General features: G+C 52.9%; 1 protein-coding gene across 2 annotated transcripts in view, besides 3 other annotated features; it reads right to left on the bottom strand.

Moving 5' to 3' along the window:
• Positions 1 to 19,144, bottom strand: part of SLC25A42 (solute carrier family 25 member 42) — a 49,037-nt gene that overhangs the window by 10,699 nt on the left and 19,194 nt on the right. For both annotated transcript variants that reach the window (NM_178526.5, NM_001321544.2), the window contains exons 2-3: positions 6,127 to 6,241; positions 446 to 551 (exon numbers count right to left, since the gene is read on the bottom strand). In NM_178526.5, coding sequence (NP_848621.2) covers positions 446 to 551; positions 6,127 to 6,207 — 187 coding nt within the window. In that variant the 5' untranslated portion in view covers positions 6,208 to 6,241. The remainder of the gene's footprint in view (positions 1 to 445; positions 552 to 6,126; positions 6,242 to 19,144) is intronic.
• Positions 4,542 to 5,741: an enhancer, noted in NCBI's record as "CDK7 strongly-dependent group 2 enhancer chr19:19207400-19208599 (GRCh37/hg19 assembly coordinates)". NCBI's record gives its function as "activates an origin of replication core promoter dependent on BRD2, BRD4, P300/CBP, MED14 and CDK7 cofactors, with strong dependence on CDK7, by STARR-seq in HCT116 cells {active_cell/tissue: HCT116}" and the evidence as "EXISTENCE:reporter gene assay evidence [ECO:0000049][PMID:35650434]".
• Positions 7,055 to 7,554: an enhancer, noted in NCBI's record as "H3K4me1 hESC enhancer chr19:19205587-19206086 (GRCh37/hg19 assembly coordinates)". NCBI's record gives its function as "activates a minimal SCP1, AML or CMV promoter by ChIP-STARR-seq in primed H9 embryonic stem cells {active_cell/tissue: H9 hESC(primed)}" and the evidence as "EXISTENCE:reporter gene assay evidence [ECO:0000049][PMID:30033119]".
• Positions 13,872 to 14,372: an enhancer, noted in NCBI's record as "H3K27ac hESC enhancer chr19:19198769-19199269 (GRCh37/hg19 assembly coordinates)". NCBI's record gives its function as "activates a minimal SCP1, AML or CMV promoter by ChIP-STARR-seq in naive H9 embryonic stem cells {active_cell/tissue: H9 hESC(naive)}" and the evidence as "EXISTENCE:reporter gene assay evidence [ECO:0000049][PMID:30033119]".

The raw sequence follows: 19,144 nt of genomic DNA, 5'->3' as shown, positions 1-19,144 counted from the left end.
CAACAGAGAAAAACCTCATTTCTGGCCGGGGGCGGTGGCTCAAGTCTGTAATCCCAGCACTTTGGGAGGCCGAGGCGGGCGGATTACGAGGTCAGGAGATCAAGACCATCCTGTCTAACATAGTGAAACCCTGTCTCTACTAAAAATACAAAAAAATTGGCCGGGCATGGTGGCGCATGCCTGTAGTACCAGCTACTCGGGAGGCTGAGGCAGGAGAATGGCGTGAACCCGGGAGGCAGAGCTTGCGGTGAGCCAAGATTGCACCACCGCACTCCAGCCTGGGTGACAGAGCGAGACTCCGTCTCAAAAAAAAAAAACAACAAAAAACCTTATTTCTAAAATAAATCTAAAAATAAAAGCCAATTTGAAGCGTGGTTTGGGGGCCATGAAGGAGGAGGTGACCGCCTGGCAGCTTCTCTAGCACCTGGGGATGGCCAACACTTACCTTGGAAGATGATTTTGGTTCGGTCCAGGGGAGCTACCGCTGTTTTGGCAAGGGCACCAGCCAGGGCCCCAGACAGCAGGGAGCTGAGCACTTGCCTGTGGTCACGCTGCAACAGAACATGTGATCAGAGGTCAGAGGGCAGGGGGGCGGCTCCGCAGAGGACCTTGCCCCAGAAGTGCCTTCCTTACACCCTCTGGGCCGGGGCCGAGGGATGTACCCCACCCTGAGTATGTTGGCCTTGCTTGGTTCTGGGTGATCTGTGGTGGGTCCACAGGCCACAGAGCCTACTGGGGACACAGTGAAAACCTCCCAAGATGACAGGTACCATCCACTTTGGAGGTGAGGTGTGCAGGTTTCACATTCTCAGAGACAGGCTCACAATAGGACTGGCCCACGTGCAAACTTCAGTTCCCTCCACAGCCTGTGTGCACCTGACTACGGCACTGTGGCATTGTAGGTACACAGGGACTGAAAACAGGCACCAGGGACCGTTGGGGTCAGGGGGTTGGCAGTGGGTATCAGGCAAGCAGACCCTGACTCTGTGTCAGCGTGTCCCTTCCCACAACTTCCGATCAGGACTCCAGAGGTAGGCATCTATGACTCTTCATCCAGCCCAGTTGAGGGGGTGACAGTGACACTGATGATGGCTGCCAACCTGCGTTGACTGCTCCCATGCCAGCCTGAGAGCCATCGCTTTCTGCAGTCCTCTGGAGCTGCCCAAGTCCCCTGCTCCCCCACAGCCCTCCCTCCTTCCCTGGAAGGTCACGCCGCACAGCAGTGTGTCCGAGCCCTGTGGGATCCCACAGGCACCACCTGCCCATCAGGTTGGAGTTTCCATTTCCCCTGCTGACTCGGCCACGGGACTCTCACTGAGAAGTGGCAGAGAGCATTCTGGAAAGTTCTGGATGGGAGGTGCTCTGATTCCATTTCCCCAGTGGACTCGGCCATGGGACTCATTGAGAAGCAGGGGAGAGCATTCTTCTGCCTCAGCCTGCAATGCTTTGCTGTCTGAATGTAACGTGGAAGGGCAGGTTGTTCAGTGACTCCCAGGAATCTGCGAAGTCCCACCAGGCAAGGGCATCCTGAAGGGCCTGGAGCCCCACAGTGCAGGGTGGGGGTGTGTACAAGACCCTTCCTGTCCCCGTGGTGCCACTGGTCCACACAGAGAGCCAGATGCCAACAGAAGCATCAGATGAAAGCAAATACAGCCACCCATTGGGAAGGTGCCGCGAGGAGGTGGCCCAGGGTTCTGTAAGAACTCTGGGTTGGTAGGTGAGAGGCTGAGCTTGAAGGATGAGGTGCAGGTCACTTTGGGGTGTGTGTCATAGTATTAGGTGGGGAGGAATGAATACTCAGAGGCTAGGGTGAAAAGGAGCAGGGGACCCTGGGGGACCACAAGGAGGGCAGATTTGCTGGCACAGGGAAAGGGAGGGGGCCCAGAGAAGAGAAAGGAGATGGCAAAGAGAGGTGGGTGCTAGATCCTACAAAGCCTGGCAAGGAGGCTGATCTTTGCCCAAATAAATGGGTTATTTTTATTTTTTTTCTGAGGCACAGTCTTGCTCTGTCGCCCAGGCTGGAACACAGTGGTGTGATCTCAGCTCACTGCAAACTTTGCCTCTCGGGTTCAAGCGATTCTCCTCCCTCAGCCTCCTGAGTAGCTGGAATTACAGGCAAGCACCACCACGCCTGGCTAATTTTTGTATTTTTAGTAGAAATGAGGTTTCGCCATGTTGGCCAGGCTGGTCTCGAATTCCTGGCCTCAAGTGATCTGCCTGCCTCGGCCTTCTGAAGTGCTGGGATTACAAGCATGAGACACCGCGCCCGGCCGAAATGGGCTATTTTTAATATGACCAGAGTGGGGCTGGGCACTGTGTCTCATGCCTATAATCTCAGCACTTTGGGAGGCCGAGGCGGGCAGATCACGTGAGGTCAGGAGTTCGAGACCAGCGTGCCCAACATGGTGAAACCCCATCTCTACTAAAAATACGAAAATTAGCCGGGCATGGTGGTGGGTGCCTGTAATCCTAGTTACTCAGAAAACTGAGGCAGAAGAATCGCTTGAACCCAGGATACCAAGGTTGCAGTGAGCCGTGATTGCACCACTATTCTCCAGACAGGGTGACAGAGTGTCTGAAAAAATAAAAAATAAAAATAAAAATGTGACCAGGGTAGAAGCGGCTCCTGCAGAAACCCAGGATAGATATGGTGGAGGCTGGAGATGGGGAAGGGATGTGGCGCACTACTCAGGTGTAACAGGCAACCGGAGTCAGACTGAGCATGGTTGCCCCCACCTCTGGAGTTTGCTCAGCTCAGTGTGTGGCTCGGGGTAAAGGGCTGGGCCTGAGTCTGTCCACACACTTGGCCTGAATCCCAGCTCTGCCCGACTGAGCTCAGGCAGAGGGTGCCCTCTTTGGTCTCCCAGTCCTATCTTTACAACAGCAAGGTGCCAGCTCTCAGACCCTCTCCCACATGTCCTGGGCTACCCAGCAGCCTTGCACCCCCAGTCTGGTTCCACAGAACACAGCCTCCTTTTCCTCAGTGCTCCCAGGGTCCCCTCCACCAGCCCAGCCCTCCCTTCCTCAAAGGGACAGATTGCACAGCGATTTTGTTTCTGAGGCCAAACTTCGCCATGGAGTTTGATCTTCTCCTAGCTTCTCGGAAGCTGTCTTTGGGGACCTCTGCCTTTTCTGGGACATGCAGCCAGGTTGCAGACGTCTGGTTCCATGAGCTTTGAGAATTGCGGGCGCTTGTTGGTGGTCCCAGCAGCAGTCCAAGGCCTTACCAGCTTCAGGCCAGTTTCTTCTCTGAATCAGTCGGACCAGCTGCTCCCCTCTGGAATGGGCCTCTGTGTGCAAATGGAATATTCCATGGAGAGTGCCTCCCTGCACCCTGCTGGAGACAGAGTTCTTCCACCTCCTCCATTCGGTGGTTACCTCCTATCAGTTTGTCGTTTTGTTTGTTTTTTGAGACAGTCTTGCTCTGTCCACCAGGCTGGAGTGCGGTGGCGCAATTTTGGCTCACTGCAACCTCTGCCTCCTGGGTTCAAGTGGTTGTTTGTCCTGCCTCAGCCTTCCCAGTACCTGGGATTACAGCTGCGCGCCACCCTGCCTGGCTAATTTTTGTATTTTTAGCAGAGATGGGGTTTCTCCACGTTGCCCAGGCTGGTCTCGAACCCCTGAGGCTCAGGTGATCCGCCTGTCTCGGCATCCCAAAGTGTTGGGATTACAGGCGAGAGCCAGCGGGCCCAGCCAAGGCTCTTAACGTTACAAAGCCAACTCTGTGTTGTTTTTCTGAGATAGGATCCCACTCTGCCACCAGGCTGGAGTGCAAGTGCATGATCATAGCTCACTGCAGCCATGACCTCTTGGGCTCAGGTGATCCTCCCACCTCAGCCTCCTCAGTAGCTGAGACCACAGATGTGTGCCACCACACCCAGCTAATTTTATTTTTTTGCAAAGACAAGGTCTTGCTATGTTACCCAGGCTGTTCTCAAACTCCTGGGTTCAAGCAATCCTCCCGTCTTGGCCTGCTAAAGTGCTGGGATCTCTGGTGTGAGTCACCATGCCTGGCCAATGCCAAATCTTAGTATCAGGAACACACGTCCATAAACTGCACCTCTCCAGGTAGCCACCAGTGGCACCTGGAGGACGTGTGTTGGGGCCAGTTCACATGCTCAGTGGAGGCTGCTGCCTCTGGCTGATACTTCCAGCTCCTCTCTAATGAACACAAACACCTTATTATCCAAAGAGCTGGGAGCAGGCATCACTGAGGGGTTGAAGTTTCAAGATCCATCACGTGGGGAGATCCTACGAAAGAAGGATTTGTCGGCCAGGCAGCTGACAAGAGAAAGTGGGCAATCCCAGATGGGATGCATGTTGGCCATAAACACAGTGGGAAGAAGCTCAGTATTTTTTTTTTTTTTCTGAGACAGGGTCTCACTCTGTCGCCTAGGCTGGAGTGCAGTGGCGTGATCTCAGCTCACTGCCACCTCCACCTCCTGAGTTCAAGCGATTCTCCCACTTCAACCTCATGCGGAGCTGGGATTACAGGTGCGTGCCACCACGCCTGGCCGATTTTTGTATTTTTAGTAGAGATGGGGTTTCACCATGTTGGCCAGGCTGGTCTCGAACTCCTGACCTCAAGCAATCCTCCCACCTGGGCCTCCCAGAGTGCAGGGATTACAGGTGTGAGCCACCATCCCAGCCAAGGCTCAGCTTCTTAACCAAAGAAAAGAGACATTGCAGAGTGAGTCCCTCCCACCTTGGGGCTGGCCAGGCGGACCAAGAGCAATGTTGTTGGGGCCTGCCAGTACAGAGGAGAATGGGCATGTGTGTGTGATGCCCGGCAAGTGACCAGCACTGGCGCATTTCTGCGTGTGGTTCAGCAGCCACCGCTGCCTCAAGCTTGTCCACGTGGTGGGATCCACGTTGCAGACCCCCTCCTCTCCGGCATGCAGAGCAACAGCCATATCCAGGTGTTCTTCCAGCTCTGTTGGGACCTTCACTAAACTTCAAGGCACGTGCCTGCCCTGTGCCTCAGTCACCTGGTGGTGACCCCGGTGAATGAGTCCTCCCGCCCGCCTGCTGCTCTGAGATGTCACCTGGAATCCGGGGAAAGGTCGGGAGGCCTGGAAGATGACGCCACCTCAGCCTTTGACCCCATGGACTTTGAAAACTGCCTGTGCGGTCGGCCTGAGTCAGGCCCTGGGAGTGCGATGATTTCTGCGTGGGGCTGGGTCGGTCTGTGTTTCAGGTTCAGCTGAGAGGACTTAGGGGCCAGTGGGGGTTCTGGTTTCTATGGTGAACAACAGGGCTGACCCAATTGCTTTGAGAGAATATCTTTTCTTCAGTGGAATTGTGGACTTAAGAGGTGAACTTGGAAATGCAGAGTAAAGACCAAGCATGCCCACCCCCTTTGGCTCTCTGCATTTGGCTCTTTTTTTTTGTTTTTGAGACAGGGTTTCACCCTGTCGCTCAGGCTGGGGTGCAGTGGCACAATCTTGGCTCACTGCAACCTCTGCCTTCCAGGTTCAAGCGATTCAACTGCCTCAGCCTCCCAAGTAGCTGGGATTACAGGTGTGCACCACCACGCCTGGCTAATTTTTATATTTTTAGTAGAGACGGGGTTTCACCATGTTGCCCAGGCTGGTCTCAAACTCCTGGTCTCATATGATCCTCCCACCTCAGCATCCCAAAGTGCTGGGATTATAGGCATGAGCCACCATGCCTGGCCTTGGCTAATTCCTTAGTGTTCCAAAATCTGAGGGAGAAAAGGGGGCTCCAAGACATGTCTGATACCTCAGGCTTCCCACCCCACGCTGGAACTGGGTTAGGTTTTGGCCTCTTACCAGGTGGCTGGGCTGGTTGGATTCACATCACAAGTGGGGCTTTTGGTGGAATAGAGGGTGGCTGGCGTCCTCCATCCCATGATGGAGTATTTGGGGCCGTGGGAGCAGAGAGGCTCCACCACTCCACCCTCAGCCCAGGTAGGAAGGGGTACCAACATGCACATCCTAGGTACAGGGTGATTTGTGATGGGCTGCATGGAGCACAGCAGAGGAATCCCTGAGCCTGTTTGGAGGGGGTGCAGAGGCTGGGAGGAGGAGGCAGGGAGCCTGGGAGGGGGGGTGGGGAGGCTGGGGCCCCAGGAGAACACCCATCCCAGGAGGCCGGGGTACTTGCCTTTGATGAGACGGACGAGGACAGGACAGCCTCAGCATCCTCATGCAATCGCACCGGGCCTTCCTTCACACCATTACCCATACCAGGCCTGCTCGGAATGGCAGGAGACTCGGTCCTGGGGGGGTAAGGGGAGGTGGTAAGATACGGCGAGATCCTGAGAGATGGTGGGTGTTCCACCAGCCTTTTCCTATCCCAGTTTCTGGCTCCCTGCGTGGGGAGGGATGCCCTCAACTGCATTCCGCAGCCACGGTCCTGTGTGTACTGCTTAATCATTTACAAAAGCCTTTCTTGTTGGTACTGGAATGTAATCCTCACAAACAGTCTGTTCTTTTTCCAAATCTGGTGCCCAGGGAGCAAACAGGCTCAGAGAAGTTAAGCAGCCAGCCAAGGTCACACAGCTACCAGCGGGTTGTGGGGCCAGCGTGGCCGAGGTGCTCAGTGCCAACACCACTGTCAGGCCAAACATCCAGTGGGCACCGAGGTGCTCGGTGCCAATACCACTGTCAGGCCAAACGTCCAGTGGGCTTGTGTCAGCTCGGACCCGAGGGTCTCTGTCCACCAAAATACTTTATTTTTTATTTATTTATTTTTTTGAGACGGAGTCTCACTCTGTCACCCAGGCTGGAGTGCAGTGGCACGATCTTGGCTCACTGCAACCTCCACCTCCTAGGTTTAAGCAATTCTTGTGCTTCAGCCTCCCAAGTAGCTGGGACTACAGGCGCCTGCTACCACACCCAGCTAATTTTTTATTTTTAGTAGAGATGGGGTTTCACCATGTTGGCCAGGCTAGTCTCGAACTCCTGACCTCAGGTGATCTGCCTGCCTTAGCCTCCCAAAGTGCTGGGATTACAGGCATGAGCCACCGCACCTGGCCTTTTTTTTTTCCCCCACCCAGGCTCAAGTGCAGTAGAACAATCATAGCTCACTGCAGCCTCAAATTCCTGAGCCCAAGTGATCCTCCCACTTGGTCAGCTAAGGGTGTTTTTTTTTGTTTTTGTTTTTGCTTTGACAGAATCTCCCTCTGTAGCCCAGGCTGGAATGCAGTGGCATGATCTCGGTTCACTGCAGCCTCCGCCTTCCAGGTTCAAGTAATTCTTGTGCCTCAGCCTCTCAAGTACCTGGGATTACAGACGTTTACTACCAAACCCAGCTATTTTTTATTTTTTTATTTTTAGTAGAGCTAGGGTTTTGCCATGTTGGCCAGGCTGGTTTTGAATTCCTGGCCTCGTGTGATCCTCCTAACGTGGCCTCCCAAAGTGCTGGGATTACAAGCATGAGCCACCGCGTCCGACTGGGTTGGCTAATTTTTATTTTTCATTTTATATTTTGTAGAGACAGTGACTCACTATGTTGCCCAGGCTGGTCTGGAACTCCTGGGCTCAAGCGATCCTCTGGCCTCAGCCTCCCAAAATGCTGGGATTCCAGGCATGGCCACCGTGCCTGGTTAGTTCCCACGCTTTAAAATCATCCAGTAAATGAAAACGCATTACTGCAAAGTGAAGCAAAGGGTGCAGAGGCCCCAGAGCAGGCATCAGTGCCGGTGAGTGACGCTGTACAAAGTGCACTTGGGATTCTGCTACACCAGCCTCCACTGCTGACTCTCCTAGTGAACATGGACCCATGGGCACTGGCTCTGGGAGAAACACCTGCTTCAAAGATGGGGCCAGAGAGAAAGGAAGAGCCTAGAGCACGTACGTGGAGGTGCCAGTCATGGAGGGCATGTTCAGAAACAGAAACCAAAGCAGATGGGTGTGGCGAGGGGGTCATGGGCACCCACCGAAAGAACCCTTGATGGCCAAAGCTGGAACAGTTTGAGTAGAAATGGAAAAAAACATAAAGCATCATGGATGAAAGCCTGAACTATAAAATAACCATGAGTCCATATAATATAAAGAAATGACAGAGTAAGTAAGTACATGGTAGGGAAGAGACAAATCTCCCAGGCAAAGGATTCCCAAATAGCACAGCAGCTCGGACCTCCAAGAGGGGCCATGCCTCCTGCCCTCAGGTGTGGCTGCGCTTAGCGGCTTCTTTCCAAAGAGTGCAGTCTGGAAAGGGGGCTGTCAGTGACTGCAGCACAGAAACCTGATGGATCCCAGCTGGGCTAGGTGATCCAGGACAACGCTGGCTGGGATAAGTCAGGTGGACGCATGTGCCTCTGATGGAGTGTGACGACTAGGGTCTTCCTCCCCCAGATCCATCACCCCATCTGACCGTGAGAAAAACATCAGGCTGGGCGCAGTGGCTCACGCCTGTAATCCCAGCACTTTGGGAGGCTGAGGCGGGCAGATCACGAGCTCAGGAGTTTAAGACCAGCCTGGCCAACCTGGCAAAATCCTGTCTCTACTAAAAATACAAAAATTGGCCAGGCATGGTGGCAGGCACCTGTAATCTCAGCTACTCAGGAGGCTGAGTCAGAAGAATCACTTGAACCCAGGAGGTGGAGGGTGCAGTGAGCCGAGATCACGCCACTGCATTCCAGCCTGGGTGACACAGCGAGACTCTGTCTCGAAAGAAAGGAAAAAACACCAGACACATCCCACCGGAGGGGCATTCTCCAGCAGCCCTGACCACTGCTCCCCAAAACTGTAACGGTCACCAAAAACAAAGAGCCTGAGAAACCGTCTCAGCCCAGAGGAGTCTAAGGAGATGTGAGGACTAAAGATCAGGTGGGATCCTTGGACAGAGAAAGGACATTCAGGAAAAATGGAAGAACGTGAATAAAGTGTGGAGCTCCATTAATATTAATACCATCTCAGCACTTGTTCATTAGTGAGGCAAATGCAGCACAGCACTGTGAGAGGTTATGCGTAAGGGACGCTAGATGTGTGCGGTGTCGGGGAACTTGGTACAGCCTTTGCAATTTTTCTGTAAATCTAAAACTGCTCTCAGCTGGGCGTGGTGGCACGCACCTGGAATCCCAGCACTTTGAGAGGCTGAGGTAGGAGGATCGCTTGAGCCCAGGAGTTTGAGACAAGCCTGGGCAACATAGTGAGACCCCGTCTCTAGAGAAAAAAATTAGTTGGATATGATGGCATGCACCTGTGGTCCCAGGTACTCGAGAGGCTGAGGTGAGAAGGTCACCTGAGCCAAAGAGGTTGAGGCTTCAATGAGCCGTGATTTCAGCAGTACACTCCAGCGCAGGTGACAGAGCAAGACTGGGTCTCAAAAAATAAAAATAAACTAAACTGCTTGCAAACAGACAGAAACCAGGTCCTAAAGACCTTTCCCAGCCGGTTGCTGGGGGTCGGCATCTTTCATCATCAGCCCATGGGATGCACTGCGTCTGTTTCACTCCGCCCCCCACAACAATCAGCCATGTCTGACTACTGCCCAGCACCACCCCTGCCGCTACAGACCCTGGGGGCTGTCCTTGCACTTGGGCGCTTGGGTGAGAACGGCGCAGCCTCTCTACTCCTTGATTCCTAGAATCGAGGTGCTGGGTCAGGTGGCCTGGACATGTTCTGCAAAGTCACCTTCCCCAGAAAGGATTCAGCCATTTGCTATACCCCAACAGTGGGTGAGGTGCCCGAGGCCTGGGTCCTGGCCGAAGGGGGTCCCTCCCACCCTCCTGTGGGCTCTTGCTCTGAGCTCCTCAGGAGGTCACAGTCCTGTGAGGAACAGTCTCCCCAGAAGGGCATTGTGGCCTCAGACCCTCCCTTGGCTGCACCTGCCCAGCCTCTGTGAACAAGAAGAGCCACCAGACAGGGCTGCCTGCAGTGCCCATGGTACCATCCTTCACTGGATCACCTGCCCAGGGCCAGGGCTCAGCCTCGAGTGGCACCCACAGACATAGACAAAGTCACTGCACAACCTGGCTGGAACTACACAAGTGTGCTAGGCCCTGCAGGTGACAGAGCACTGAGGGCAGCTGGGGCTGGGGGACGTAACTGGAGGGGGTGGAACGATGGCCCCTGAAAGATACACCCTGCCCCCAGAACCTGTGAATGTGACGCTTTTAGGAAAAAGGGTCTGTGCAGATGTGATTAAGGCAAGATCTCTAGATGAGGGTTAGGGTGGGCCCTAAGTGCAATGACTGGTGTCCTTGTAAGAGACAGAGTAGGAGACACAGACACAGTGGGGAGGGTTGAGGATGAGGCCTGGAGCACGGTGGGCCACCACAGCCAGTGCATGATCCCACAGCACAAGAGCGGCCTGCTTCTGTTCCAGCTGCCTCATCCCTTGGTGAGGCCAAGGAGGGAGTCCCAGCACCACCAGCACCCGCCACCCTCCCTGTCTCAAGAGGAAGAGGGCCCCAGGGCACCAATGCCTGCAACCATCAGAGACACAGGTTTTCATGACATTCTTTTTGTTGTTGCTGCTGTTTTATAGTCAGGGTCTTGCTCTGTTGCCCAGGCTTGGGTGCAGTGGCATAATCATAGCTCACTATAGCCTCGACCTCCTGGTCTCAAGTGATCCTCCCACCTCAGCCTCCTGAATAGCTGGGATTATAGGCTCATGCCACCAGACCTGGCTAAGTTTTTAATTTTCTGTAGAGACAGGGTCTCCTTATGTTGCCCAGGCTGGTCTTGAACTCCTGGGCTCAAGTGGTCCTCCTGCCTCAGCCTCCCAAAGCGCTGGGATTCCAGGTGGGAGCCACCGCACCCGGCCATAACATTCTTCTGTTTCCACTGTACTTAATTTGTTTTTTCCCCATCACCTCCTATTTTGCAGAAATATTGAATTTATTTTTAATTAGTGATACAAACTACCCTTTATTTATTTTTATTTATTTTATTTTACTTTTGAGACAGAGTTTCATGCTTGTTGCCCAGGCTGGAGTGCAGTGGTGCAATCTTGGCTCACTGCAACCTCCACCTCTCGGGTTCAAGCGATTCTCCTGCCTCAACCTCCCGATTAGCTGGGATTATAGGCGCGCACCACCATGCCCGGCTAAGTTTTTGTATTTTTAGTAGAGACAGGGTTTCACCATGTTGGCCAGGCTGGTCTCAAACTCCTTACCTCAGGTGATCTGCCCTCGTTGGCCTCCTAAAGTGCTGGGATTACAGGCGTGAGCCACCGCGCCCAGCCCAAACTACCTTTACATGAATTTAAATTAGAAAAGACACCCATGAAGTGAATTCTAGAACTGGGTAGGACAGACCGCAGAACTGGGGGAGGAGGTCCCTGAGGATTTCAGCAGAAACGGGCCCAAGAGTCACGCTTTTGTCTTTTGTCACAGCAGAAAGATGCTCCCTGTGTTCAGGAGTGAGCCGTGTTTGCTGCAGCTCAGGAAGGCAAAGGGAAAAGCCATGTGACATCCCGGACCCCGGGGACCACAGTGAGAACAAGGGATGGGGTTCGGGACATAATAGCCTAAAATATGACCTTGGCCTTTGAGAACACAGAAGCAGGAAGCACTGTTTCTTTTCCCTTCTCCCCAGAAGCAGGTCATGAGACCCTCAGGTGGGAGGTGCCTCCCCTGTACCTGGAGGAGGGGAACAGAAGATGCAAAGATGCCAAGAAGAACCTGAACAAACAGGCCTTGCTAAGTTCCCCCAAGGTTATTATCATTAAATCAGAAGCTTTTTGTTGTTGTTGTTGTTGTTGTTGTTGTTTTGAGACGGGGTCTCACCCAGGCTGGTCTTGAACTCAAGTGATCCTCCCGCCTCAGCCTCCCAAAATGCTGGGATTACAGGTGTGTGCCACGGTGCCCAGCCAGATCAGATCCTTTTGTCCTCTAATCAGATTTGCCCATGACTCTAATCTTCATCAAACCTAACATAAACATATGCAGGTTTACCTGTTTTGGGGGGAGGTCTTTGTTTCCTTATAAAGGGCTCCCAAGACACGTAAAACTTGTTTTAAATAAATTTGTCTGCTTTTATCTTGTTAATCTGTCTTTTGTTACAGGGGCCTCAGCCATGAACCTAAGATGAGTGAGAAAAAGATATTTTCCTCTTCTGCATGGGGCGGCCACTTGGGGTGGCACCTCTGCCCCTTAATGAGCAAGCAGACACCTGGCTGTGACTTTCAAGAAGGGGTGAAACTGACACGGGAGCTCCTAGACATCATTTGGGGGGTTGGGGGACAGACACGCTGGTTTTGCTTCAAAACCCAAACTTGGCCTTCTCAAAATGTAACTCACTCACAAGTTCAAAGATGATTTCTATAAAATAGGATCTGCAGGCCAAGGTGGGACAGGACACTAGATTGGCCACTTGTCAAAATTTTTGCCTAAGAAAACAATCTTTGGAAAGGGCCCAAGGAAAGCTCAGAAGGCAGACTCCTGCTCTCCCTCCAGGGACCCCCAGTGGAACAGACATTCCTGCTGAAATGCCTTACTCTTCTCAGCTCATTTGTTAGAGTTTAGAGGTGTTTTTTGTTTTTGTTTTTTGAGACGGAGTCTCGCTCTGTCACCCAGGCTGGAGTGCAATGGTGTGATCTCGGCTCACTGTAACCTCTGCCTCCCAGGTTCAAGTGATTCTCCTGCCTTGGCCTCATAAGTAGCTGGGATTACAGGCGTGTGCTGCCATGCGCAGCTAATTTTTGCATTTTTCTGTAGAGACGGGGTTTCACCATGTTGGGCAGGCTGGTCTCAATCTCCTGACCTCAGGTGATCCACCCTCCTTGGCCTCCCAAAGTGCTGGGATTACAGGTGTGAGCTACCACACCTGGCTGCCTGGAATCTGATTTTTATATATATAATTTATTATTATTATTATTATTATTTTTTTTGAGATGGAGTCTTGCTCTGTCACCCAGGCTGGAGTGCACTGCTGCGATCTCAGCTCACTGCAACCTCCACCTCCCGGGTTCAAGCAATTCTCCTGCCTCAGCCTCCTGAGTAGCTGGGATTACAGGCACGCACCACCATGCCTGGCTAACTTTTTTGTACTTTTACTAGAGATGGGGTTTCACCATGTTGGTCAGGTTGGTCTTGAACTCCTGACCTCATGATCTGCCCGCCTCAGCCTCCCAAAGTACTGGGATTATAGGCGTGAGGCCCCGCGCCCAGCCCTGGAATCTGTTTTAAAGTTCAACTGCACATTTGTCAAATTCAGAGTGTAAGTTGAGCTCTCTCTAAAGGGTGCCACCACGCTTTGTTTCAGGAAGTACAGAAAGAACAGGTGCCCATTTGAATCAAAGTTGAGGATCACTGGCCAGGCGCAGTGGCTCACGCCTGTAATCCCAGCACTTTGGGCCAAGGAGGGCAGATCGCTTGAGGCCAGGAGTTCAAGAGCAGCTTGGGCAACATGGCAAACCACTGTTTCTACTAAAAATACAAAAATTAGCCAGGTGTGGTGGTGCATGCCTGTAGTCCCAGCTACTTGAGAGGCCGAGGCAGAAGAATCGCTTGAACCCAGGAGGCAGAGGTTACAGTGAGCCAAGATCGTGCCGCTGCACTCCATCCTGGGTGTCAGAAAGAGACGCTGTCTCAAAAAACAAAAGAAAACGAAAAAAAAAAGGCCGGGCGCAGTGGCTCATGCCTGTAATCCAAGCACTTTGAGAGGCCAAAGCGGGGGGATCACAAGGTCAGGAGATCAAGACCATCTTGGCTAACATGGTGAAACCCTGTCTCTACTAAAAAATACAAAAAAAAAAAAAATTAGTCGGGTGTGGTAGCACATGCCTATAATCCCAGCTACTGAGGAGGCTGAGGCAGGAGAATTGCTTGAACCCAGGAGGCGGAGGTTGCGGTGAGCTGAGATTGCGCCATTGCACTTCAGCCTGGGTGACCAGAGTGAAACTCCGTCTCGGGCCAGGCGCGGTGGCTCACACCTGTAATCCCAGCACTTTGGGAGGCCGACGCAGGCAGATCACGAGGTCAGGAGATCGAGTCCATCCTGGCTAACACGTTGAAACCCCGTCTCTACTAAAAATACAAAAAAATTAGCCAGGCGTGGTGGCGGGCACCTGTAGTCCCAGCTACTCAGGAGGCTGAGGCAGGAGAATGGTGTGAACCCGGAAGGCGGAGCTTGCAGTGAGCCGTGATCACACCACTACGCTCCAGCCTGGGTGACAGAGTGAGACTTTGTCTCAAAAAAAAAAAAAAAAAAAAATTGAAGATCAGATTTATATGCAGGGCTGGGGTGGGGTCTGGAACCGTTCCTTAGAAACTCCTGGTAAGAGGCAGAAGAGGTGCAGGACAATGGCCAATCCATACATGGCAACAAAACTGTGGCCCAAAACCTGTGCAGCAACCAGCTCCGGAAACCAACCACCAACCTCTGCAGCAATGCTCAGGACCTGGTCAGTGATTGCAGCTTCTCTAACACTGGCCCCCCTTCCAACTTAGGACCAACCAGAGAAAGCCAATTGTGCTTCCCTAAGCAACCCCACAGGACACCTGCTGTTAGCTGGCTGCCCCCAGCTTCCCCAGGCCAACAGCCTCCTGTGGGCTCACTTGAGCCTGCCCTTTTCCACTCCACAGCTCTCCCTCTCCCCTGCCTGCCCTGGAGCTTCGGCTGACTCCCTTGCAAACTCTGAATAAGCAGCCTGTGCTGCTCTCATTTGGATGGTCTTTGTTTTTCCAAGTAGCTCAATAAATGGGGGAGAAGAGACAGCACTTCCTTACAGTTGAATTTCAATTAATAAATGCAGATGGAATGATGGAAATAGAAAACACCATTAGGCAAAGGCTAGTATTAATTGTTGCCATCAAGAACCATGGGGACAGCTGGGCACGGTGGCTCACACCTGTAATCCCAGCACTTTGGGAGGCCGAAGTGGGTGGATCATTTGAGGTCAGGAGTTCAAGACCAGCCTGGCCAACATGGTGAAACCCCGTCTCTACTAAAAATACAAAAATCAGCTGGGTGTGGTGGTGTGCATCTATAATCCCAGCTACTCGGGAGGCCGAGGCAGGAGAATCGCTTGAACCTGGGAGGTGGAGGTTGCTGTGAGCTGAGATCGTGCCACTGCACTCCAGCCTGGGCGACAGAGCGAGACTCTGTCACAAACACACACCAAAAAGAGATCCTGACATCTGTGACAATTCAGATGAACTTAGAAGATACATGAATAACCGAATAAACCAGGCACAGAAAGACAGATGCTGCATGATCTCATTTATATGTGGAATTAGAAAAAAAAAATCAAATACATAGAAATAGAGTAAAATGGCAGTTACCAGGAGCAGGGGGAAATGGGAAGATTGTAGGTCAAATGGAACAGAGTTACAGTTACGGAAGGCAAGTATGCTAGAGATCTAATGGACAGCATGAGGACTATAGTTAATAACATTGTATCAATTACTGGTAACCTCACCCTCCCCACCCAGCGCACCCCCCCACACACATGGTAACTATATGGGATGATTTTTATATTAGTTTGTAGTTTGTTTGACTGCAGTAATCACTTCACTATATATGTATATCAAAGTAAATATATCAGAACATCACATTGTCCAACCTGGGCAACATGGAAAAGCCCCATCTCTACAAAAAATACAAAAATTAGCCAGGTGTGGTGGCATGTACCTGTAGTCCCAGCTACTCAGGAGGCTGAGGCAGGAGGATCATCTGAAACCAAGAAGTTGAGGTTACAGTGAGCTGAGATCGCACCACTGCACTCCAGCCTGGGTGAGAGAGCAAGACTATGTCTCAAAACGAAACAAAACAAAAAAAGCAAAACCCCCCAAAACCACACAACATGTTGTATACGTTAAATATAAACAATTTTAAAATGTTATTTCAAAAAAAATGGACTAGCCTTAAATAAAACAAAACCATGGGCAGATGCTACAATGAGTGGGTGAAAACAGGATGAGAAATAGGGTGTTTGCGTGGCCTCTGAGCATCTCCCCACAGGAAACTTAATAATTTCTCTGGACTGGGTGCAGTGGCTCATGCCTGTAATCCCAGCACTTTGGGATGCCGAGGCAGGTGGATCACCTGAGGTCAGGAGTTCGAGACCAGCCTGGGCAACATGGTGAAACCCTGTCTCTACTAAAAATACAAAAGTTAGCCAGGTATGGTGGTGCTCACCTGTAGTCCTAGCTACTCAGGAGGCTGAGGCAGGAGAAACGCTTGAACCTGGGAGGCAGAGGTTGCAGTGATCATGCCACTGCACTCCAGCCTGTGTGACAGAGCGAGACTCTCTCTCATAAAGTGCTAAAACAAAGAAAGCCTGGAGAAAACCAGCAGCTTCTGGGGCATGCCAAGTCCAGGAAACACACGTTGGGTGTCTGTGGCTATAGAAGGACTGGCCGGGTGATCTGACTCCTCTTGGTCCAGGTCCTCCACGGCACATGGTCCCAAGGCGTACTGTGGAGGGTGACTCTAAGCCAGCGTGGCTACACCCAGGGGCTCAGTGTTGAGGGGCAGGGAAGGGCGCTGGCAGCCCTGGTTTTCAGGGAACCCATTGCCCTTCTCAGCAGAGTGCACCCTGACCCTGGCTGGCCCCCTCCCCTCCCCTCTCCCCTCCTCTCCTCTTGCCTCCTCTCCTCTCTCCCCTCTCCCCTCCCCTCAGGGTGTCTGGGGCCATGCTCAGGCAAAGGCCTTCCTTCCTCCAGGGCCTGTTTCTGCCTCTGCATGTGGGGGTGAGAATGGGGTGAAGACACAGGCACCCATACAACACAATAGTGGCTATTGGCCGGGTGTGGTGGCTCACACCTGTAATCCTAACACTTTGGGAGGCCAAGGCCGGCCTCACCTGAAGTTCAAGACCAGCCTGAGCAAAATGGCGAAAGCCCATTTCTACTAAAAATACAAAAATTAGCTGGGCATGTGGTGAGCACCTGTAATCCCAGCTACTCGGGAGGCTGAGGCAGGAGAAGAGCTTGAACCTCGGAAGCAGAGGTTGCAGTGGGCTGAGATCGCGGCACTGCACTCCAGCGTGGGTGACAGAACGAGACTCCTTCTCCAAAAAAAAAAAAAAGAAAAAATGTGGCTATTGTTCAGAGATCCCTTTGCCCCTGTGCTCTGGAATCCTCCCAGCCTTAACTGAGGAGTCTCAGTTCAGCTTCACAGCTGGGGAAGCTGAGGCAGTCTGAGTGCTTGCCTGAGGCCACAGCCACTGGCTGGTGGGGCCTAGCTGGGCTGAAGACAATGGTGACAATCACTGCCGCTAATGACTGGGGGCACCGTAGTTCCTCTTTACCCCTCATGGTGAGGTGCTGTTTCCCTACTCTGCAGATGAAACTCAGGGAAGTTTGGCCAAGTCCAAGGACAGAGGGAACTCAGGCCCCAGTGCAGGATCCGAAAGCCACAACCGGGTCCTTCTCCATGGAGCCTGGCCCCTAGGCAGCCCACAGCCACTGAGGTGAGTCTCAACATCATTTCATCAAGCACTCTAGAGGACCATGTACCCCCACCTTTTTTTTTTTTTTTTTGAGATGGGGTCTCGCTATGTTGCCCAGGCTGATCTGGAACTCCTGGGCTCAAGTGATCCTCCTGCCTTACCTCACCTCCCCAGTAGCTGGGATTATGGGTGTGAACCACCTTGCCCTGCCCATGTGCCCTTACTCAAGACTTTGCTTAACCTAAAGGAACAGCCAGTTCCAGGGGCATAGGAGGGCAACTTCCCCCAGGTGACCTGCACCTGGACCTCTTGGGTAAGGTGGGTTCAGCCAGGGGCCTCTGTCAAGTGGGTATTCCCCATTCCCTACTCTACTCTTTGGAAGCAGCCCAGTCTGATGGGATGGGGATGGGTTAAGCTCCACCTCCCGGAAAGGGGAGCATCGATGGATAGGACTTGGAATTATTCCACAGGGACGGCTGTCTCTCCTCCCCCATTTATTTTTTCAGTCATTGATTCCTATCTGTGTGGCCTTGTGGATATTCACTTTGCACTGTCCATTAAACCCAAATGCTCCATTACCCTCTGGGGATGTGATGCTATACATCCACCGCCATAGACAAAGAAGCGGGTTTGGGGAGGGAAGGTGGGTGGAGATTTCACTACGATGAAGAGGTTGCCCCAAAGACTCAGGTGGCTGGAGAAGCTGAACTGGATATACCTATGTCAGAGCATCTGTGGGCCCCAAACCTGACTATGCAGATGTAGAGGGGAGGTGGGGCCTGTGGTGGACGCTGGGTGGGAGATGGTGTGTGCAACACCCCAAAGGTGCCTGCCGGGGCACACTGTGGTGGTGGGATGCAGGCAGGTATGTACAGGGTCCAGGCATGTTGCGGTGGTGGGGTATGGGCAGGTGTGTGCAGGGCCCTGGAGGTGCCTGCAGGGGCACACTGGGGTGGTGGGGTGCAGTCAGGTGTGTGCAGGGCCCTGGAGGTGCCTGCAGGGGCATGCTGGGGTGGTGGGGTGTGGGCAGGTGTGTGCAGCGCCCTGAAGGTGCCTGCAGGGGCACGCTGGGGTGGTGGGGTGCGGGCAGGTGTGTGCAGGGCCCAGGAGGTGCCTGCAGGGGCATGCTGGGGTGGTGGGGTGTGGGCAGGTGTGTGCAGGGCCCTGGAGATGCATTTAGAGGCAGTTGGGTGTCAGATGGTGTGTGCAGGGGCCAGGAGGTGCATGCTGGGGCAGTGGGGTATGCAGGAGTGAGGTACCCTTTCACTTTTTCTGGGGCTCTCTGCCCCTTGCCCAGGCTGTACCTCTGCTCTGCATCCTCACTGCTCCTGTGACTTCCCTCCACGACACTCGTTCACTGTGCTGGCCTGGCCTGGTGCCTGTGCAGTGAGTGCTGAGGGTTTGCCAATTCAGGCCTTCGCCCTTGAGGTAAGAGGAGCCCCAGAAGAGGCTGAATGACGCTGCTGGGCAGGGCAGGGGCAGGAGGCCAGAGAGCCGAGGCTGGAGATCCTGAAACCCTCTTGTCCTGACATTTGGGGTGACTTCCCTGGAAAGGGGAACCTTAAGGACCACCATAATGGGCTGCGTTAGACTCAATAATGGCACTCAAAGATGTCTGCATCCTAAACCCTAGACACCATGAATATGTGATCTTACATGACAAAAGGGAATTTTTAGATGTGATGAAGTTAAGGGTCTTGAGATGGGGGAGACTGTCCTGGATTATCTGGATGGCCCCAATGTAATCACCAGGGTCCCGATGTGGGGATGCAGGAGAGGCCAGGTGCAGTGGCTCACGCCTTGTAATCTCAGCACTTTGGGAGGTGGGAAGATC

Source organism: Homo sapiens, chromosome 19, assembly GCF_000001405.40.
Source record: "Homo sapiens chromosome 19, GRCh38.p14 Primary Assembly".
NCBI classification, from domain to species: Eukaryota; Metazoa; Chordata; class Mammalia; order Primates; family Hominidae; genus Homo; species Homo sapiens.
This window is presented reverse-complemented; position numbering and strand designations above follow the sequence as displayed.